This window comes from Homo sapiens, chromosome 9 (assembly GCF_000001405.40).
Source record: "Homo sapiens chromosome 9, GRCh38.p14 Primary Assembly".
Taxonomy (NCBI): Eukaryota; Metazoa; Chordata; class Mammalia; order Primates; family Hominidae; genus Homo; species Homo sapiens.
The window spans coordinates 92,902,697-92,925,175 of NC_000009.12; the positions used below are offsets into that span (position 1 = coordinate 92,902,697).

The window sequence follows — 22,479 nt, forward strand, 5'->3', positions numbered from 1 at the left end:
TCTAGTTTATTTGCATAGAGGTGTTTGTAGTATTCTCTGATGGTAGTTTGTATTTCTGTGGGATCGGTGGTGATATTCCCTTTATCATTTTTTATTGCGTCTATTTGATTCTTCTCTCTTTTCTTCTTTATTAGTCTTGCTAGCGGTCTATCAATTTTGTTGATCCTTTCAAAAAACCAGCTCCTGGATTCATTAATTTTTTGAATGGTTTTTTGTGTCTCTATTTCCTTCAGTTCTGCTCTGATTTTAGTTATTTCTTGCCTTCTGCTAGCTTTTGAATGTGTTTGCTCTTGCTTTTCTAGTTCTTTTAATTGTGATGTTAGGGTGTCAATTTTGGATCTTTCCTGCTTTCTCTTGTGGGCATTTAGTGCTATAAATTTCCCTCTACACACTGCTTTGAATGCATCCCAGAGATTCTGGTATGTTGTGTCTTTGTTCTCATTGGTTTCAAAGAACATCTTTATTTCGGCCTTCATTTCGTTATGTACCCATTAGTCATTCAGGAGCAGGTTGTTCAGTTTCCATGTAGTTGAGCAGTTCTGAGTGAGTTTCTTAATCCTGAGTTCTAGTTTGATTGCACTGTGGTCTGAGAGACAGTTTGTTATAATTTCTGATCTTTTACATTTGCTGAGGAGAGCTTTACTTCCAACTATGTGGTCAATTTTGGAATAGGTGTGGTGTGGTGCTGAAAAAAATGTATATTCTGTTGCTTTGGGGTGGAGAGTTCTGTAGATGTCTATTACGTCCACTTGATGCAGAGCTGAGTCCAATTCCTGGGTATCCTTGTTAACTTTCTGTCTCATTGATCTGTCTAATGTTGACAGTGGGGTGTTAAAGTCTCCCATTATTATTGTGTGGGAGTCTAAGTCTCTTTGCAGGTCACTCAGGACTTGCTTTATGAATCTGGGTGCTCCTGTATTGGGTGCATATATATTTAGGATAGTTAGCTCTTCTTGTTGAATTGATCCCTTTACCATTATGTAATGGCCTTGTCTTTTTTGATCTTTGTTGGTTTAAAGTCTGTTTTATCAGAGACTAGGATTGCAACCCCTGCCTTTTTTTGTTTTCCATTTGCTTGGTAGATCTTCCTCCATCTTTTTATTTTGAGCCTATGTGTGTCTCTGCATGTGAGATGGGTTTCCTGAATACAGCACACTGATGGGTCTTGACTCTTTATCCAATTTGCCAGTCTGTGTCTTTTAATTGGAGCATTTAGTCCATTTACATTTAAAGTTAATATTGTTATGTGTGAATTTGATCCTGTCATTATGATGTTAGCTGGTTATTTTGCTCATTAGTTGACGCAGTTTCTTCCTAGCCTCGATGGTCTTTACAATTTGGCATGATTTGGCTGGTACCGGTTGTTCCTTTCCATGTTTAGTGCTTCCTGCAGGAGCTCTTTTAGGGCAGGCCTGGTGGTGACAAAATCTCTCAGCATTTGCTTGTCTGTAAAGTATTTTATTTCTCTTTCACTTATGAAGCTTAGTTTGGCTGGATATGAAATTCTGGGTTGAAAATTCTTTTCTTTATGAATGTCGAATATCGGCCCCCACTCTCTTCTGGCTTGTAGAGTTTCTGCTGAGAGATCCGCTGTTAGTCTGATGGGCTTCCCTTTGTGGGTAACCCGTCCTTTCTCTCTGGCTGCCCTTAACATTTTTTCCTTCATTTCAACTTTGGTGAATCTGACAATTATGTGTCTTGGAGTTGCTCTTCTCGAGGAGTATCTTTGTGGCGTTTTCTGTATTTCCTGAATCTGAATGTTGGCCTGCCTCGCTAGATTGGGGAAGTTCTCCTGGATAATGTCCTGCAGAGTGTTTTCCAACTTGGTTCCATTCTCCCCGTCACTTTCAGGTACACCAATCAGACGTAGATTTGGTCTTTTCACATAGCCCCATATTTCTTGGAGGCTTTGTTCGTTTCTTTTTATTCTTTTTTCTCTAAACTTCCCTTCTTGCTTCATTTCATTCATTTCATCTTCCATCACTGATACCCTTTCTTCCAGTTGATCGCATTGGCTCCTGAGGCTTCTGCATTCTTCACATAGTTCTCGAGCCTTGGCTTTCAGCTCCATCAGCTCCTTTAAGCACTTCTCTGTATTGGTTATTCTAGTTATACATCCGTCTAAATTTTTTTCAAAGTTTTTAACTTCTTTGCCTTTGGTTTGAATTTCCTCCTGTAGCTCGGAGTAGTTTGATCGTCTGAAGCCTTCTTCTCTCAACTCGTCAAAGTCATTCTCCATCCAGCTTTGTTCTGTTGCTGGTGAGGAGCTGCATTCCTTTGGAGGAGGAGAGGCACTCTGCTTTTTAGAGTTTCCAGTTTTTCTGCTCTGTTTTTTCCCCATCTTTGTGGTTTTATCTACTTTTGGTCTTTGATGATGGTGATATACAGATGGGTTTTTGGTGTGGATGTCCTTTCTGTTTGTTAGTTTTCCTTCTAACAGACAGGACCCTCAGCTGCAGGTCTGTTGGAGTTTGCTACAGGTCCACTCCAGACCCTGTTTGCCTGGGTACCAGCAGCAGTGGCTGCAGAACAGCGGATTTTTGTGAACCGCGAATGCTGCTGTCTGATCGTTTCTCTGGATGTTTTGTCTCAGAGGAGTACCCGGCCGTGTGAGGTGTTAGTCTGCCCCTACTGGGGGGTGCCTCCCAGTTAGGCTGTTCAGGGGTCAGGGGTCAGGGACCCACTTGAGGAGGCAGTCTGCTGGTTCTCAGATCTCCAGCTGCATGCTGGGAGAACCACTGCTCTCTTCAAAGCTGTCAGACAGGGACATTTAAGTCTGCAGAGGTTACTGCTGTCTTTTTGTTTGTCTGTGCCCTGCCCCCAGAGGTGGATCCTACAGAGGCAGACAGGCCTCCTTGAGCTGTGGTGGGCTCCACCCAGTTCAAGCTTCCCAGCTGCTTTGTTTACCTAAGCAAGCCTGGGCAATGGCGGGCGCCCCTCCCCCAGCCTCGCTGCCGCCTTGCAGTTTGATCTCAGACTGCTGTGCTAGCAATCAGCGAGACTCCGTGGGCGTAGGACCCTCCGAGCCAGGTGCGGGATATAATCTCGTGGTGCACCGTTTTTTAAGCCCATCGGAAAAGTGCAGTATTGGGGTGGGAGTGACCCGATTTTCCAGATGCCGTCTGTCACCCCTTTCTTTGACTAGGAAAGGGAACTCCCTGACCCCTTGTGCTTCCCGAGTGAGGCAATGCCTCGCCCTGCTTTGGCTCACACACGGTGTGCTGCACCCACTGTCCTGCGCCCACTGACTGGCACTCCCTAGTGAGATGAACCCAGTACCTCAGATGGAAATGCAGAAATCACCCGTCTTCTGCGTCGCTCACGCTGGGAGCTGTAGACCAGAGCTGTTCCTATTTGGCCATCTTGGCTCAAGATTTTTTTATTTGCGAGTTTTTAAGTTTCTCTTTAAAGCATGCAGTTTCTATGGTTTAATAAGCAGGGCAACTGGCAGGCAAAACAGATCCACCAAAATTAAAGGTTTCATTTTTTTGGGTGTTTGTTTTTTGAGATTGAGTCTTACTCTGTTGCCCAGGCTGGAGTGCAGTGGCGCCATCTCGGCTCACCACAACCTCTGCCTCCCAGATTCAAGCAATTCTTCTGCCTCAGCCTCCTGAGTAGCTGGGATTGATTATAGGCGTCCACCACCATGCTCGGATAATTTTTTTTTTTTTTTTTAGGAGAGACAGGGTTTCACCATGTTGGCCAGGCTGGTCTCGAACTCCTGACCTCAGGTGATCCATCCACCTCGGCCTCCCAAAGTGCTGGGATTACAGGCGTGAGCCACTGTGCCTGGCCAAGGGTTCCATTTTTATACTGAATCCTGGGTCCCCAAAAAAAGGGGGTATCAGCTCATCTCCCATGGGAGTTTATCTCTCAGTGGGGGTGGGTCATTTCCATACTTTCTAGATGGCCAAGAGCATGCCCCTGTGATCCAAACATGCAAAGAGCTGAGTATCTCCCCATAACTGCCATTATCTAGCTCCAAAACTCTATTTCCTACCTAGTTATTATACGCCAAAGCTCTATCATAATGCGAAGTAATTTCTGATACCCCGGAAAGTAAAAAATGTCAGATAATGCAATGCAAAACAGAAAAGAGCCTTAGATTTTGAGAGGGATCTATTCACTTTCAATTCCCGGAGTTCCATAAGGAAAATGGAGGTTTTTCCCTAAATGGGGCCTGTGGCGCCTCCTCTGTTTTTCCCAAGGTGTCCCAGGCTGTTAGAGCTTGAATATCTGCTTTCAATTAAGCTGACTTTTAACCATAGTGGTCTTTAAAAAAAAAAAAAATCCCTCTAAATCTCTTATTATTCTTCTTTACCCAGGCCAAATGGCAGATATTTCTGCCTTTTAAACGTTAATAAAATTACCCTCACAGGTGAAACCAATAAGCCTTACCTCCTAAGCTAATGCATTGGGCAGTCTCCATAGCTCTCCCCAGAAGGAGCCTAGGGCAGCTAATTTTGAGCTTGTAAAGGCTTTTAATGGCTCAAGATAATTTTTAGGGCTATGACATGAACCCCAAAATTTCTGTTCCCTGGAAGGCAAAGACCAAAAGGAAGTACCAGCACGTGGTTACAAGGTCAAGCTCCCAAGGACATAAAACAAGATGAGAGGAAAACTTCATCCAGTTTTTTTTGTTGTTGTTTCAGGGACCTGTAGCAAAGTTTGTTACTGACCAGCTTGCTGGGCCATCTTGAACAGAGGGCTTATAGGATCCTAGGCCTGTATTCTATCCTAAGGTACCGTTCTCCCTTATAGAACAACACAGAAATACAATTCATAGCACGAAGTACATCAGATTTTCTACAGCCTCAGACTAGTCTCATGAATCCTTTTTCCCACTAATCAAAACCCACAAAACATAGGCATTAGCCACTCTGCTTAGCACCCATTGTCAACCTGGCAAGGCTCAAACTTGCCTCCAGTTGGACCCTGTCATCTCTGATCCACTCAAAGTGGATTGAAGGAGTTCCAATATGTGGTCTCTGGGCAAGGTAGTCGCCCTAAGTAACAGAAAGGATAAGTAAGGGAAAGGAGGCCAGGCGCAGTGGCTCACGCCTGTAATACCAGCACTTTGGGAGGCCAAGGCAGGCAGCTCACTTGAAATCAGGAGTTCATACCAGCCTGGCCAACATGGTGAAACCCCATCTTACTAAAAATACAAAAATTAGCCGGATGTGGTGGCACACACATGTAATCCAGCTACCTGGGAGGTTGAGGCTGGAGAATTGCTTGAACCTGGGAGGCGGAGGTTGCAGTGAGCAGAAATCACAGCACTGCACTCCAGCCTGGGTGACAGAGGAAGACTCTGTCGAAAGATAAAGAAAGAGAGAAAGACAGAAAGAGAGAGAGAGAGAGAAAGGCAGGAAGGCAGGAAAGAGGGAGGGAGGGAAGGAAGGAGAGAGAAAGGGAGAAAAGCATTGCCTACAGCAGGGAAGGGAAGGTGAGGAGCTCAGGGAGGCCAGAGAAAGACCTATCCATTGCAGAGACCCTGAATCAAAAGCTCAGGCGGTTGCTGGTCGGTAGTGAGGGGATCTTTCCAGCAGTCCTATCAGCATTCAGGTTTCCCCTTTTAGGGATAAAAAAAAAAAAGGTTCCCGTGTCCAGTGATCCTGTACATGCCTAATCCTGTCACCCATAGCAGTCAACAAAGAGTACAAGACAGATTAATCAAAAAAGAATAGTGGTTAATATCCCATAATGCCAAATCCATTTTTAACCAAGAGGGACTTTACTGAGAGGGGCCTCTAACCCCCTAAATCTTAGGAAGGACTCTAACCCTCCTAAGTTGGGCTTCGAACCCAAGTTTGGCCAAGCGCCCTTGCCTTTTATTAAGAGGGGTCTTTTACCCACTCTGTCTTAGGAGAGAATTTGTCCTAAATCGAGCCTGTAACCCAATCCCATCCTTTACCCAGGTACCCCACCACTTACCCAAAGTCATCCAATCAGTGCTGCAGTCTATTTCCTTTGGGTGAGGTGTCTCCACAGTATCATCCCTTCATGGTTGCCAGGAAGATGTTACCAGAAAGGGGTCCTGATCCAGACCCCAAGAGAGGGTTCTTGGATCTCTCACAAGAAGTAATTCAGGGTGAGTTCATGGAGTAAAGTGAAAACAAGTTTATTAAGAAAGTAAAGAGATAAAGAATGGCTACTTTATAGACAGAGCAAAAAAATATATATACTGATTATCAAATACATTTCTGTTACATTCGAATTAGAGACAAGTTCTGTTTAGAAATAACCCCATCTGCCTCAACCTCCCGAGTAGCTGCCACTAGGCACGTGCCACCACGCCCAGCTAATTTTTTTATTTTTAGTAGAGACAGAGTTTCACCATGTTGGCCAGGCTGGTCTCAAATTCCTGACCTCAAATGATCCACCTGCCTCAGCCTCCCAAAGTGCTGGGATTACAGGCATTAGCCACCATGCCTGGCCCCTGAGGTGGAACAGTTTCATCCCAAAACCATCCCCATCTGCCAGCCCCCTCCCCACCTCCCACCTCTCACTCCCATCAGTGGAGTGCCAAAGCACAAGTTACTGTGAATTACTTTTGGAGGTCTTCCCAACTCTTCAATCACATTTTTAATCTGTAAGAAAATTATTGGGTTTGTGCCGTTTCTATAGAAGATGAATTTTATACATTACATTTTGATTTTTCTGAATTTCATTTATAAAAGAAAACTTGCACTTGAATGTTGGGGCTTCCCATATAACCACACTTGATTATAGTGAATGTTTTCATAATAGCATTTATAGCCTTGTATTTTATTCAAGATAAAGTTTTTGAGATTACCCAAATAAGTCATGCTTCTTTAAAAATGTTTTAAAATTCCAAAATATATCAAACATGAAAATCCCTTCCATACTTCCTCTCCACTCTCTAGAGATAATCATTGCTAATACTTGAGTGTACACATTTTCAAGTATTTACCTATCCTTATTGTTGACAGAGATCATGCTCACTGTTGAAAAAGTTTTTAATGTTTGAGGATATTTTTGTCTATGGAGAGAACACCCCACAAATATTCATGTTTTGTTTAATGCTCAATTTATTAAACATATACTGTATACAACATTTTGAAACTTTTTTAATATTCAAAGATTGATTACAAACTTCATTAAATTCCTTTCCATTTAAACTGTAATTACAAATTTAATATGATTCTTTTGAATGTACTTTTTTTTTTTGTTTTTGAGACGGAGTCTTGCTCAGTCGCCCAGGCTGGAGTGCAGTGGTGCGATCTCGGCTTACTGCAAGCTCCACCTTCCGGGTTCATGCCATTCTCCTGCCTCAGCCTCCCAAGTAGTCGGGACTACAGGTGTCTGCCACCATGCCTGGCTAATTTTTTGTATTTTCAGTAGAGACGGGGTTTCACCGTGTTAGCCAGGATGGTCTCCATCTCCTGACCTCGTGATCCGCCCGCCTTATTCTCCCAAAGTGCTGGGATTACAGGCGTGAGCCACCGCGCCCAGCCTGAATATACTTTTTAAAGTACACAAAATAAACACAAATGCAATGATTACAGGACTTACTATAATTATCCTTATATCTATCTTAAAACACCAACATGATGGATTTATTACTTCATTGGTTTTTATTTGTGTTTTTCCCTAGGTATAAGATACTTTCTTATTTGCTAAACTATTTCTTTTGATGTTTCCTTGTGTTACTAAAATCTTATCAGACCCTACCCCCACCCAAATCACCTAATATCCTCAATCCTCAGATCAACCAAGGCTATAGACTTGGGCTTCTCAGCAGATTACTTCGGGGTTGGGGCTCTGATGCTTGTAGTTTCTCTCAAAGAGCTATCTTTTTTTATAAGATTGTGCTACCTCAGCACCCTTACTTTTTAGCAACATCGGTATGTTCCGGGCTTATCTTGTGTTTTACCTGCCCCCAAACACAGAATCAGCCACCCTCCAAGAGCCCAGGTTTTTTTTTTTAGTGGAGAATTATATTATAGACCAAAATCTAGGCTCTAAGGAATTGACGATGATAAAAAGGACCTTGTTGCTATTGGGCACCTCTTAGTAGTGATAGAGCTGTAAGAGGGCTAATGTTCCTACTATATAAATAGTTCCTACAAATAAATAAGAAGATGACCAAGGCCGGATGTGGTGGCCCATACCTGTAATTCCAGTGCTTTGGGAGGCTGAGGCAGGAGGATTGTTTAAGGTCAGGGATTCAAGACCATCCTGCTCAACAGAGCAAGACCCTGTCTCTACTAAAAAAAAATTTTGTAATTAGCTAGGTATGGTGGCATATACATCTGTAGTCCTTGCTACTTGGGAGGCTGAAGGAGGAGGATCACTTGAACCCAGGAGTTTGAGCTATAATTGTACCCCTGCACTCCAGTGACACGGCAAGATCTTGTCTCAAAAAAAAAGAAGAAAAAGAAAAAGAAAATGCCCAAAGCCCAATGGATAAATGGAATAGCCAGTTCACACAGAAGGAAATACAAATTTCCTACAATATAAAAAGATGCTCAATCTTACTTATAATAAGGGCAGTGCAAATTAAAATTAAAACCAGGGTACCACTTTTCACCTATTTGATTGGCTAAGGTAATAATGGTTATTAACACACCATTGGCAAGAGTGAGAAAGAACAGGCATTCTCATACACAGTCCACTACTGAAGTATAAACTGGTACAACTTCCTGTGGAGGGCAATTTCTGCCAAAATTAGATATGCTTTTGGTCCAGAAATTCCATCTCTAGGATTTTGTTCTACAGATATGCTTTCATATGAGAAATGCTGTATACACTGGTTTATTTCTTTCAGCATTTTTTCATAGTTACAAAAGATTGCTAAGAACGTAAGTGTCCACTTACAACAGATTAGTAGAATTTATTACGCTACAGCAAAACGATGGCAGCCTTAACGAAGAACAAGGAAGCTCTTTATGTGCGGGTATGGAATGACCTGACTTATGTTGCAATATGGAAAAAGTAAGGTGCAGAAGAATGTGTAAGGAATATGCTAAAATGTGCAGGAAAAGGACCAAAAATAGGCAGTGTTTGCTCAGTAATAGTAGTGCACAGAGAAGACTGGTAACAGTGATTGCTAGGGGTGGAGAAACTGGGTGGCTTGGGGCCAAGAGGAGGGAGAAACTAGTGAATACCACGTTGTATCTTCTGAATTTTGAATCATGTGATGTACTTCCTACTAAAAAAATTATGCAAACCAGAAAAAGTGCATCAGACACATATTTTCATAAACTTTATTTGTCTTACCAGGCTGACTGCAGTCCATGCCTTGGAGTTTATTTTACTATTCCCCTATTGTTTACATTGCCGGAGAGTTATTTGTTTAGCTGTGTCTCTCCCAAGGGAAGGATTTATTTATCATGAAGTTTTCAGCTCAATGTGTTTTGGCAAACACTGATTGACACCCACAAGCCCTGATACTGTGCTAAATCCAGGGGAAACAAAAGTGAGAGTCCTGCTGGGTGTGTAGTCCCTGCCTAGGACAAACTCGCATTAGTGGGGGATACAGACATACAAACAAAAGATCACAGCGCAGGATTAAGTGTGCAACAATAGAAGTGTGCACAAAGAGAAAAGTGGTAGAAAGGAAAGCTGACCAGCTCTGGTGAGGTGACAGGGGTGGAATAACCAGGAAAGACTTAGCTGAAAAACTGGAATCAGGGTTTAGAAGGATGAATAGGCTTACCCAGGAGCAGGTTCTTTGAGGGAAAGACGCGTGGGTTCCAGGGAACACATGGCTCCAGCCCAAAGTGAAGCAGCAGAAGATGCCCTGGTGCAGTGGGATGAGGGGCAAGGAGGTCTGGTCGGGTTAGCAAGGGCATTGAATGCCCCCAAATTTGGATTTTTATTCCGCAGGCAATAGGGAGGCAGAGGCGTTTACATTCAAAAGGAATGAATCCCAGAGCCTGGCACAGGGAAGGCAAGTAAGCAAAGTTGGTCCAATGAATTCAGTGGCCTTAATGTGTCTTCCTCAAATGTCACTGAAGACTGGGTCTCCTCTCCCACTTCACCCCCTCCTGTAGCCCAACTTGTGAGACGCGCGCGCACACGCGCACGTTTAGATGGAGGGGGATTTCCTAGCCATCCAGGCTTGCCTGAAACTCCATCTTACACTGGTGCATAACTCCTGCCCCCACCTCACCTGCCTCCTGTACGAGGCGTTGATTCCTTCTTCCTGCGTATTTTCTGTCCAAATCCTTTTCTGCTTCTCCCACCAATCAAAGTAATGGTTTCCACTCCCTGCTTCCGCCGGGACTCCTTTTTGGCATGGGGCTGAGTTCTGCTCCTTGGAGCTCCAGCGGGTAGCTCCTGGAAGCCCCAGCGGGTAGCCAGGCGGAGTTGGTTGGAGACCTGCCACCCACTTTCTGACCCCAAGCGAATTCTGAGAGGGCAGGGTCTCAGGCTCAGCGAGTTAGCTCGTCCACCCTTCTTCCCCACCAGAAGGAGCGAAACGTCTTTGAGCAAGATTGGTCTCTACTGCGTCCGGGTGTCCACCGGGGCCTCACCCTGTGCCAGCTCCAACAACTAGGTGCAGCTGTGGCCCCACGGTGGCTGAGCCTCCTCTGTCTCCCGCGGGAAGTAGAATTCAAGGTTCAAGTACCGGAGCACCTGGGGCCGCTGCTGTTTGGGAAACTGCGCAAACGGCATCTCCTTCTGGACGCCTCCTGGTTCTGCAACTGGATCTCCGTGCAGGGCCCCGGATCCGGTGAGGAAGTGAAGTTCCCTTGTTACCTCTGGGTGGAGGGCAACGGCGTCCTGAGCGTACCGGAAGGCACTGGTGAGAGCGGGGCTGAAAGCGTGAAAGTGTGAAGAGGCGTCTGGAGTGCAAGAGAAGCTGGGGTGCATGCGGATGTGGAGGATGGGGGTGCTGGAACCTGGAGCGCAGGGGTCTTTGGAGGTTGTTGAAGAAGCGGTTGCGGGAGCTGGCACAGAGTGGCGTGGAGGCTGGGGGTGGGGCGTGGTGCCGAAGGGGCAGGGGCCACACAGAAGGACAGGGTGATGAAGCTCTCTTGGCAGGGACGAGAAGAGGCTCTCAGAAAAAGCCATTGCCCAATCCCTCCTCTCTACTGCACTCTACTCTAGGCTGCACTGTGGCCGAGGACTCTCAAGGCCTGTTCAAGAAACACAGGGAAGGCCGGGCGCGGTGGCTCACAACTGTAATCCCAGCACTTTGGGAGGCCCAGACGAGCGGATCAAAAGGTCAGGAGATCGAGACCATCTTGGCTAACACAGTGAAACCCCGTCTCTACTAAAAATACAAAAAAATTAGCCGGGTGCGGTGGCGGGCACCTGTAGTCCCAGCTACTTGGGAGGCTGAGGCAGGAGAATGGTGTGAACCCAGGAGGCAGAGCTTGCAGTGAGCCGAGATCGTGCCACTGCACCCTAGCCTGGGCGACTGAGCAAGACTCCATCTCAAAAAAAAAAAAAGAAAAGAAAAGAAAATAAAGAAAGAAACACAGGGAAGAGGAGCTGGAAGAGAGAAGGAAGCTGTACCGGTGACCCCCTACTCCCCAGACCCCATGTGAACTGCTGCTTCCAGCACCCGTGTCTGATTTCATTCTTCCCCACTGGTGGGGAAACTGGAAGGATGGGTTAATTCTGAATGTGGCTGGGGCCAAACTATGTGATCTCCTGTGCATGAGCGATTTCTGGAAGACAAGAGAGTTGACTTTGAGGCTTTGCTGGCCAATGGGTGACAGCAAGGGGAGGCTGGGTGGGAGGGGGGTGCTCTGGTCTAGTGGAAGCCAAGGGGCTTATAGGCTGCACTGTGCTGGATCAGCCCAAGATAGGTGCCTGTGGTTGTAATGTTGGAGTCTCAAAATATGCTCAAACCCTTTGCCCCAACCTTCCTTGAAGCCTGGCCGACCTCGCTATCAAAGACTCTAAATGTTCTGACTTGTTGGAACAATCTGGATGACTTCAACCGGATTTTCTAGTGTGGCCAGGGCAAGCTAGCTGATCAGACCCCCTACCCCAATACTCCTCCCAGGACTCTTACTCCAGCTCCCACCCAATCCAGGGGAATTGAAAGAACCAGGGTGGGGAGACCAGAGACTTGGGTCCCTCTGGTGGGCTAGAGTCAAGTGGGCATGGTTGGTGGGGGTTGGAAGGACCAAGAACTCAGATCCCACAACTTGCTCAACAACTGCCTTCCCCAGAGAATGTGTGGGACTTCTGAAAGGAGGATGCCTTATTTGGGTACCAGTTTCTTAATGGTGCCAACCCCATGGGGCTGAGGCTCTCCATTCACCTTCCTACCCACCTCGTGTTCCCTCCAGGGATGGAGGAACTGCAGGCCCAGCTGGAGAAGGAGCTGGAGGTATGGACATCAGAGCCCCAGGGAGGCCCAACAGTGAAATGAGTTGGGCTAGCCTCACCGGTACTGCTGCGGGACCCACTGTGGGCCTGGCTTGCTGCCAGTCAACAAGGAGGGATTCTGCAGAAGTCCTGGGGGATCCTGGAGAAGCTCAGCTGCACAGCCTCCTCCCCACATGCTGTGGAGGGAGGGTGTGCAAGGTGGAATGGTTGATAGGACAGGGTCAAATGAAGAAACATGACTGGGCCTTGATGCTAGGGATTCAGGGAGTGTGCAGAGTAAGGGAATCAAGGTCAGAGTGCTGTGGCTGTTAATCAGGAGTCAATATAGAACAACAGACAGGAAGTGCATGGGATTACAGGGCAGATAGGCTTGGATGTGAACCCTGGTTCTGCTATTTGTAAGCTCTGTGACCTCAGGCAAAATACCCAACCTCTCCGATTATCTGTTTCCTCCTCTGTGAAACTGAGGCTCATTCAACTATGTATAAGAATTATAAGCCCAGGCACAGTGGCTCATGCCTGTAATCCCAGCACTTTGGGAGGCTGAGGTGAGATGATCGCCTGAGGCCAGGAGTTCAAGACCAGCCTGGTCAACACGGTGGAACCCTATTTCCATAAAAAATGCAAAAATTAGTGTCTGTAAGTTTTGGTGTGGTGGCATACACCTATAGTCCCAGCTAGGCTGAGGTGCGAAGATCATCTGGGCCCAAGGAAGTCAAGGCTGCAGTGAGCCATGGTGATCCTGCTGCTGCACTCCAGCCTGGGCAATAGAGTAAGATATATATATATATACATATCTCAGTATATAGAGTAAGATATAGATATATATATATATATCTCAGTATATAGAGTAAGATATATATATATGTATATATATATCTCAATAATCACATGATTCCCTACTTGGTACAAAGTCGGTGATGGAGACAAGTTAGTTCCCTTCTCTCTCTTCTCCCCTGGAAGAATCAGAGTAAGAAAGAAGATGCCTTATGCTGATAGCAGCCCTTTACCTCTTCTCCCATCCAGGGGAGCACACTGTTTGAAGCTGACTTCTCCTTGCTAGATGGGATCAAGGCCAACATCATTCTGTGTAGCCAGCAGCATCTGGCTGCCCCTCTAGTCATGCTGAAGCTGCAGTCTGTTGGGAAACTCTTGCCCATGGTCATCCAGGTGAGAGGACTTGAGATTTCTGCTCCCAGTATCCAGCCTTCTCAGCTCAGCCCTTATCGAAATTCACTGGGCACCCACTATCTGCATCTTAAAGGAGGAAATGGGCAAAGTCTGTGATTCGAACACCTTGAAGTATAGCTGGAGAGACAGACTGGGCCAGTCTGAAGAAGCTCTGGTACTGAGGAAGTCCCTGAGGACAGGACAGCCCAGGAGGGATCAGGGGAGGTGGGGTATCATGAGCCTTGAAGGAGGGCCAGGGCTCAGACAAGCAGGAGGGAAGGAAAGGACCTGTCCTCAGGGGCAAGACGGTCTGGGCAGAGAGGCTGAGGCAGAGGAGTCAGGAGATTCCTAGGGGACAGTTGGACTGGGGGCCAGACTACGCCAGGCTAAGGAGTGTGATGTGGGAAGCTGGAGAAGGCTGTGATGAAATGTGCTGTGGACTTTGGGAGGCCGAGGCGGATGGATCACCTGAGGTCAGGAGTTCAAGTCCAGCCTGGTCAACATGGTGAAACCCCGTCTCTACCAAAAATACAAAATTAGCCAGGTGTGGTGGCACATGCCTGTAATTCCAGCTACTCGGAAGGCTGAGGCAGGAGAACCTGGGAGGTGGAGGTTGCAGTGAGCCAAGATTGTGCTACTGCACTCCAGCCTGGGCAACAGAACAAAAACTACATCTCAGAAAAAAAAAAAAAGACAGAAATATGCTGTGGGCACACTGTATAGGCGGTTGTGTTTAGGATGGGTTGGAGAGGGGAGATGCTAGAAACAGGTATTAGGGTGACATGCTCCAGCACTTGCCCCAGGAGGAGGTGGGCTCAGATGTGGGTAGTGACCATCAGGATGAAGAGGACAGATGGATGTGAGGTTAGAAGGAGATCAAGGAGGAAGGAAAGGGAAGCCAGGCCAGGTGCCTGCAGAAATAGCATGAATAAAGAGGACAGGGTGCTCACATAGGCTTCCGCCTGGCCAATGTTGAGATTACCGGAAGACATTTAAATTGTCTGGCAGGCAACTGAGAACTAGAGATTTAGTCATTTGGGTAAAGATGGGGCTGAAAGATGAGATTTTGAAAAAGGAGTGTGGGATGAAGGAAGCAGGCAGTTTGAATCTTGTCCACACTGCAGGGACTGAAAGGGGAAGTGGAGGCTGGAGAAGGCACTAGAAGAGCAGTTTCTACAGAATGTTGGAGGCAGAGCAGCTTGCAGGGTGCTAATGCACCAAGTGGATAGGAAAGGGAGGGGTAGCTGTAGGGAGTGGCAGCAGTGACATGGAGCAAGTGAAACACATTTGGAGGATGAAGGGAGAGGTTAAACATGCAAGGGAGGGGGGTTGCTGAGCACCTGGCACTCACCCCTTCTCTCCCTACACCTTGTTCCTGCTCCAGCTCCAACGTAGGATCCCAGCCACTTCCCCTTTTCTTGCCCATGGATCCTGCAATGGTCTGGCTTCTGGCCAAATGCTGGGTCCATAGCTCTGACTTCCAGCTCCGTGAGCTGCAGCCTCATCCTCTGAGGGGACACTTGATGGCTGAGGTCACTTTTGTGGCCACCATGAGGTGCTTTCAATACATCCTGTCTTCAAGGTAACACCTTATTCCCTTCCCTCCTGCAGGCCTCTATCTCTGCCCCAGGCCACATTCCCACCTCTGGAGGCTCCCTCTCTGTGGAGTTTCAGAGTTTGGAGAGAATCAAGGAATAGAAGATGTGAGAGCAAAAGAGTGCAAGCATGGCTGGCCGTGCATAGCACCTTTCTTGAGGGGAGGGGTAAAATCATTCTTGGGGAAAGTAGGGAAAAAAATCTTACTCTTTTTATGTGCAAAGCACAGATATTGGTACAGTACATAAACAGTACATGCAAATGACCAAGGATTCCATCCAATAAGAAGAAACTATGCAAATAATATACAAAGACTTTTTTCCAGCCAGTCATTTATCAGTTCTAAAATAGTGATACTGGCCAGTTAGAGGGGCTCAGAAAACAACAGTCACCTGGTTTATTACAGACCATTAGAGCGAAGTATTTACTTATTAAAAATATGTATTGGGAGCCTCCTGTGTGACAAGAACCATTCTAGACGCTAGCAGTAAGCAAGATAGTCAAAGTCCTGATCTTTTGAGACTTTCATTTCCAGCAAGGGCAAACAGGCAACACAGACTGTATTGTAACATATCAGCTGTGGTAGGTACGATGCAGAGAATCAAAGCAGAGTGACGTGATGGCAAGTTTAGATTGGGTGGTCAGAAAAGGCTCCCTTGAAGGAGATGACATCGAGAATGCGACTGTCAGAAGCTAACCTTGAAATGATCAAAGGGGCACAGTGTTCCAAGCAGAGGCAACAGCTTGTGCAGGATCGAGGTGGGAATGAACTCGGCTTCTTTTGGTTCTTTGAAGGATGGGTAAGGTCAGGCAAATCAACCTGCCCTGCCTCCACAGTCAGAAAGAAGAGTGACGCAGAATCTCCCTTACTCTCCCCATACCTCATCGAAAACTTCTGTGTTGGAGACCAGCGGCTGAAGAAGGTGAGGATAACTTGAAACCAGGAGGTGGAAGTTGCAGTGAGCTGAGATCGTACCTTTGCACTCCAGCCTGGGCAACAACAGCGAGACTCCATCTAAAAAAAAAAAAAAAAAGACTACTTACAGAATGATAATGAAAAAAAAGTTGAGAAACTTTGGTCTAGACCTGTGGAAAAAAATATGAAAAGCAAAGGAGAATGATTTCTTTCAATTATCATAAAGCACTAAGTCAGTGGTTTGTGGAACACGTTAGTCAGTGCAAATCAACTGAAAACTTGGTCGTTTATTTTTATTTATATTTATGTACTTATTTTTAACTTTTAGGTTCGGGGTACATGTGCAGTTTGTTATATCAGTAAATTATGTGTCACAGGAGTTTGGTGTACAGATTATTTTGTTACGCAGGTAATAAGCATGGTACCCGATAGGTAGTTTTGGGATCCTTCCCTCCTCCCACCCTCCACCTTCAGATAGATGCTAGTGTCTGTTGTTCCCTTCTTTATGTCCATGTGTATTCAATGTTTAGCTCCCACTTATAAGTGAGAACATGCCATATTTGGCTTTCTGTTCCTGTGTCAGTCCATTTAGGATGATGGCCTCCACCTCCATCCATATTGCTTGTTCTTTTCTATGGCTGCATAGTGTTCCATGGTGTATACGCACCACATTTTCTTTACGCAGTCTATTGTAGATAGGCATTTAGATTTGATTCCATGTCTTTGCTGTTGTGAATAGTGCTGTGATGAACATACACATGCATGTGTCTTTATGGTAGAACAATTTCTATTCATTTGGGTATATATCCAGTAGTGGGATTGCTGGGTCAAATGGTACTTCTGAAAACTCACTGTTGAGAGGTCACTGAACTTTAAGTCTGTGATTTTTCTGAAGACCTGGTATCTTTCCTGTTTGTCAGCCCCTATTTCCTGCAGGGACCTGTGCAGCTGTCTTCTGACTTTGCCCTTCCCTGCTTTTTTTGCCTCTAGCTTATAATTCCCCACCTGCAATACACCATGGAAATTAACATCTGGGCCAGAACTGGGCTGGTCTCCAACAGGAAGTTTTCAACCAGGTATGGGGAGAGAAAGGGAGATTCTGGGTCACTCTTCTTTCTGACTCTGGACTCAGGGCTGGTCAATTCGCCTGACCCTGCCCATCCTTGCTTCTCAGGTGGTGAGCACTGGTGGGGAAGCCATGTGGAGCTGCTCAAGCGAGCTGGAGCCTTTCTAACCTATAGCTCCTTCTGTTCCCCTGATGACTTGGCTGTCCAGGGCCTCCTGGGAGTCAAGTCTTCCTTCTTTGCCAAGATGCACTGCAGCTCCGGGAAATCATCTCTCGGTGAGGCAAGCGGGAAGGCCAGTGGGGGTGGAGAAGAAATCTAGGAGAGCAGGAGGTCTGTGTCTGGTTGTGGGCCTGGGGCCCTGACATGGCCATGTGAACAGGGGCAGAGCTGGCTTCAACACCCTGGCCCTGCCCCATTGGCTGGCCAGTATGTGGAAGGAATCGTGAGTCTCCACTGTAAGACAGACGTGGCTGTGAACAGTGACCCAGAGCTGCAGACCTGGTGTCGAGAGATCATTGAAATCCGGCTGCCCAGGACCGAGGTAAGAGGAGCTCCTGCCCTGAAATCTCAGACACAAAACTGCAAGAGACCTCCCCAGAATCCTCTGTGCTTCTATGAAATCTTCCAGAAGCATTTCCAATACCTATGAAAACTCCAAAGGCCTTCTCAGATTCTATTCCCTCCCAGCTGGAGACAGGTCCCCATCCTATGCATTGAGAACCCCTTAGATGCCAGATGCAGCGGAACCAGTGGTTGCTCATAAATGTTTAATAACTGACTCTCAGGGAAAAAAAAGGTCCCAATTTGTAACATTTGCACATTTCCATGGCACAAATATTCCTACTGTGGCTACCAAGGTGATGTTGGCCAGCTCACTAAAAACCTTAACATCATTGACTGACTCTTGTGAGCCAGTATGAGTCAGCACCAGTGCCCCACTGAGTGGGACCCTCCCAGTCAGCTCCCCACTCCCCCACCCAAGCCTGCTGTCATGGTAATTCCCACAAGAGTTACTGAGCATTCCTTCTGCTCTTTCTCACCCTTCTTGTTCTCCTCTCTTGGCCTTGGCCTCTGAGCTCTGCTCTACTCCTGGCCTCACAGCTTCTAACTCTCCTCACCCCTTGAAGGGTTTCCTGTCTCTTTACAGTCTCAGGACCAGATTTGCCACTTTGTCACCACATGTATCTTTGCCTGCACTGGCCGACACTCCTTCGTCCACCTGGACCAGGTAGTTACCAGAAATGGGCAGCTGGGAATTTGGGGCCTGGGTGACGGAGGAGTCTGTATGCAGGTGGGTCACAGGGTTTTCATGCTTAGCAGACATTGACTATAGATTCCTGACTTTCCTTAGCTGGATTGGTACATTTGGGTCCCTAATGCACCCTGCACGATGTGGCTGCCAACCACCAAGGATGCAACGCTGGAGACAGTGATGGCAACACTGCCCAACTTTCCAGATGTCCTCTCCAGATGTCCATCAGTTGGCAGCTGAGCAGACACCAGCCCATTATGGTGACAGCAAAGTGCCCAGGGCCCTAAGGAAGGAGGCAGCTGTGGGGACATGTGGCACCCCAAACTGGGGGTCATAAGGCTCTCAGCTGTTTTTTCCTCTCCATCCCAGGTGGCTGTGAGCCAGCATAAGAAGGAGTATTTTTCGGGCCCTCGGCCTAAGGCTGTGCTGAAGAAGTTCAGGGAGGAGCTGGCTGCCCTGGATGAGGAACTGAGATCTGGAATGCTACACGGGACATGCCCTATGAATACCTGCGGCCCAGCCTGGTGGAAAACAGTGTGGCTATCTGAGTGTCACCAGCCTTTGGTTATTTCAGTCGCCCTCCACCCAAGCCACAGTTCTACCCCCAGGTGGTTTCAGTCCTACCCTCCCAAGCCCCACACTTTTCTCATGTCCCACCCTCCCTAAAGGGACACCTTTTCATGGTCTCTGCACCCAGTGAACACATTTTACTCTAGAGGCAGCACCTGGGGCCTTATTCCTCCCTCCTCCCTCCCTCCTTTCCTATATATTCCTTCCTCCCTGTCTTCCTCCTTCTTCAGATCTATAGGGCAAATAACAGCCACAATTATATAAACCATTTCAAGGATCGAATAGGGAGATAATACATATTATTCCACACCTTTTATGAATCATATGTGATTTTTTTTGAGACAGGGTGTCACTCTGTTGTCCAGGCTGGAGTGCAGTGGTGCCATCACCTTAGCTCACTACAGCCTCAACCTCCTGGGCTCAAGTGATCCTCCCACCTCAGCCTCAACCTCCTGAGTAGCTGGGACTACAGGCTCATGCCACCATGCCCAGCTAATATTTTTTTTGTAGAGACAGGTCTCACTATGTTGCCTGGGCTGGAAATATGATTTTGAACCCAAATTCAGTTTAACAATAACAAAAAGATATTTTAGACTAATGATAGAAAAGAACTAGAACTGAATTATTTTAGATAAAATATTGGCAAAAGAATATAGAGCATCAAAAACATTTATCTGGGTTCACATGCTTGATGTGGTAAAGAATACAAAAGTTTTTAAAAATTAAAAAAAAATTGGCTGGGTGCGGTGGCTCACGCCTGTAATCCCAGCACTTTGGGAGGCCAAGGCGGGTGGATCACGAGATCAGGAGATCGAGACCATCTTGGCTAACACGGTGGAACCCCGTCTCTACTAAAAATACCAAAAGTTAGCTGGGCATGGTGGCAGGCACCTGTAGTCTCAGCTACTCGGGAGGCTGAGGCAGGAGAATGGCATGAACCCAGGAGGCGGAGCTTGCAGTAAACCAAGATCACACCACTGCACTCCAGCCTGGGTGACAGAGTGAGACTCTGTCTCAAATAAATAAATACATAAATAAATAAATACAAATAAAAAAATTCTCTTTCTAACTATATAGGATCTAACTTGTGTCCTGAAGCCAGACACACTACAAAGCAAACCATTAAGACAGTGAGTCCCAAGAATTTTTGACTCAAGATTTTCATGTAATGGCTCACTTAGAAAATACTGAAGGAAAGTCAGCTGGTTGAACTGAAGAAGCTGCTCCTGGCTGGAGATACTCGGCATCAGAACTTCAGCCTCATGCATCCATACCTTAACCCCTCTGCAGTTCACCAGCTGGGAAGCTCCCAATTAATAACATTAAGTGGAAAAAGACTAAAAATTTCATTATTACCAAAATGAGTACAACAAGGCATTCAATGAACTCTAACTTCTGTATTTCATTAAGATTTTGGGAAAATAAACTTGGAAGTTTTATTTCTTAATATGATAATCTGTGGGTATTTTAAAACAGAAACTAAGAGTACACACAAACCAAAAGTGTTCCCTTTATAATACAATAAAGATGCTTCTTGCCTCTGATTCTATTTAATTCCACAGAAGACATACTGGTGATGCTTGGTCTGCTTTTTTTTTTTTTCTAAAAAGAAACAGTCTCACTTAGTCACCCCGGCTGGAGTGCTGTGGCCCAATCATAGTTCACGGCAGCCTGGAACTCCTGGGCTCAAGCAATCCTCCTGCCTTGGCCTTCCAAAGTGCTGGGATTGCAGGAATGTTGGTCTTATTATTTTGTTTGTTTGTTTGTTTGAGACAAGGTCTTGCTCTGTTGCCCAGGCTGGGGTACAGGCATGACCATGGCTCGCTGCAGCCTTAACCTCCCAGGCTCAGGCGATCCTCTCACCTCAGCCTCCCAAGTAGCTAGAACCACAGGCACATGCCATCATACCTGGCTAATTTTTTTTAATTAAATGTTTGTAGAGATGGGGTCTCCCCAGGCTGGTCTCAAACTCCTGGGCTCAAGCGATCCTCCTGTCTTGGCATCCCAAAGTGCTGGCACTGTAGGCATGAGCCACTGTGCCTGTCTGGTCTGATTCTTGAAGGAGGAATTGGAAATGAATAGTAGAGAGGTGGGGGCAGAGTTTAACACTGGAATCTAGGAGAATCTGCAGAGAGGCAAGAGAGTGTGGTAGGATCTCCACACCAGAAACGAAACAGTAATCCAGCCTGGGGAGTGATGCGGTGGGGCGCAGGGCCTACGAGAGGTCTTGTGGCAAAGCGGGGAAGAGTTTGTTTCATGATGTCAGGTGATTAGACTTGACCTTTGGGAAACAGCCATGGAAAGGTTTTAAGTAAGAGCATGTTTAGGGTCCTGGAAGACAAACTCGCAGAGGCACCTCCTTCTTCTTGGAGCCCACACCCTTTTTACAGGCCACGCACCTCTCTTCGGGGTCACACCCTCTTTTCCTTGGGGGCCACAACCTCTTTCCTGGTTCCTTGTTCAGTACATTCATTGCAACAGACTTTCTCCTCAGTCCCTGACAGAGAAAATTTCAACTCTCATTGTTTTCTGGAAACAAATCTTTTAGAGCCTCAGGTTTATTACAGACAGACTTGCACGGGGAAAACTAAGACACATGCTCTTCAGGTTCTCTAACACATGAAGCCATGGCCCTTCCCTTCCAGTGAAGTTCCAGAATAAAAAGTCAGGTGACAGATAGTGAGCTACATGATTTTTGATGAGTACATTCAATTTCTTTTTTTTTTTCTCTTTGAGATAGAGTCCCACTCTGTCACCTACGCTGGAGTGCAGTGGTGCGACATTGGCTCACTGCAACCTCCACCTCCCAGGTTCAAACAATTCTCCCTGCCCCAGCCTCCTGAATAGCTGGGATTACAGGCACCCACCACTACGCCTGGCTAATTTTTGTATTTTTAGTAGAGACGGCGTTTCACCATGTTGGCCAGGCTGGTCTTGAATTCCTGACCTCAGGTGATCCACCCGCCTCGGCCTCCCAAAGTGCTGGGATTACAGGCATAAGCCACCGTGCCCGGCCTCAATTTCTTACAATAGACTTATTCTAACAAATATATTTTCTTATGACAAATAGGTAGCCAATAAATGGAAATTATAGTAAGTTATTGAAAACCATAGGAAGCATAGCCTCAAGGTGATGGGTGGTAGAACATGGAAGATAACAATAAACTTTTGTCAGAATCGCTTAAGGGAAATTCTTGCAAACAAGCCTCCAGTACACAATTTCAAGAAGGAGCCTTCATCCCAGCCTGGTTAGTGTTTATATTCTCAGTGTTTTCAAGGTAAAAGTTTGCAAATATTCTTTAGATTTTACTTTTATCTAGCAAAGCATAATTGCTGGTCGGTGCATAGTTCTCTCAAAGTCCTTTTGTTAAGCCCTTGCATTCTTTCCAAGGTTCCTCTTTATCTGCCTATTGGGAATGGGCACCTCTGTCTTTGGTTACAATTTCCAGCCAAGGCTGAATGACAGAGTGTAGGATTTTTACCTTCCTGTTCCCATGCATCAGAACTGCTGGATCACTGCCTGCTCTTTTGCCATGGACAGAGGAATGGGGTGCAGGCCTGAGTGAGCCCAGCTGCCTGGATTCTGCTCTGTG

General features: G+C 46.3%; 1 pseudogene, besides 2 other annotated features; it reads left to right on the forward strand.

Moving 5' to 3' along the window:
* Window positions 2,446–3,087: an enhancer, noted in NCBI's record as "NANOG-H3K27ac-H3K4me1 hESC enhancer chr9:95667424-95668065 (GRCh37/hg19 assembly coordinates)". NCBI's record gives its function as "activates a minimal SCP1, AML or CMV promoter by ChIP-STARR-seq in naive H9 embryonic stem cells {active_cell/tissue: H9 hESC(naive)}" and the evidence as "EXISTENCE:reporter gene assay evidence [ECO:0000049][PMID:30033119]".
* Window positions 9,743–10,244: an enhancer, noted in NCBI's record as "H3K4me1 hESC enhancer chr9:95674721-95675222 (GRCh37/hg19 assembly coordinates)". NCBI's record gives its function as "activates a minimal SCP1, AML or CMV promoter by ChIP-STARR-seq in primed H9 embryonic stem cells {active_cell/tissue: H9 hESC(primed)}" and the evidence as "EXISTENCE:reporter gene assay evidence [ECO:0000049][PMID:30033119]".
* Window positions 10,436–19,158, forward strand: ALOX15P2 (arachidonate 15-lipoxygenase pseudogene 2; annotated as a pseudogene).
* The last annotated feature ends 3,321 nt before the right edge of the window (window positions 19,159–22,479 follow it).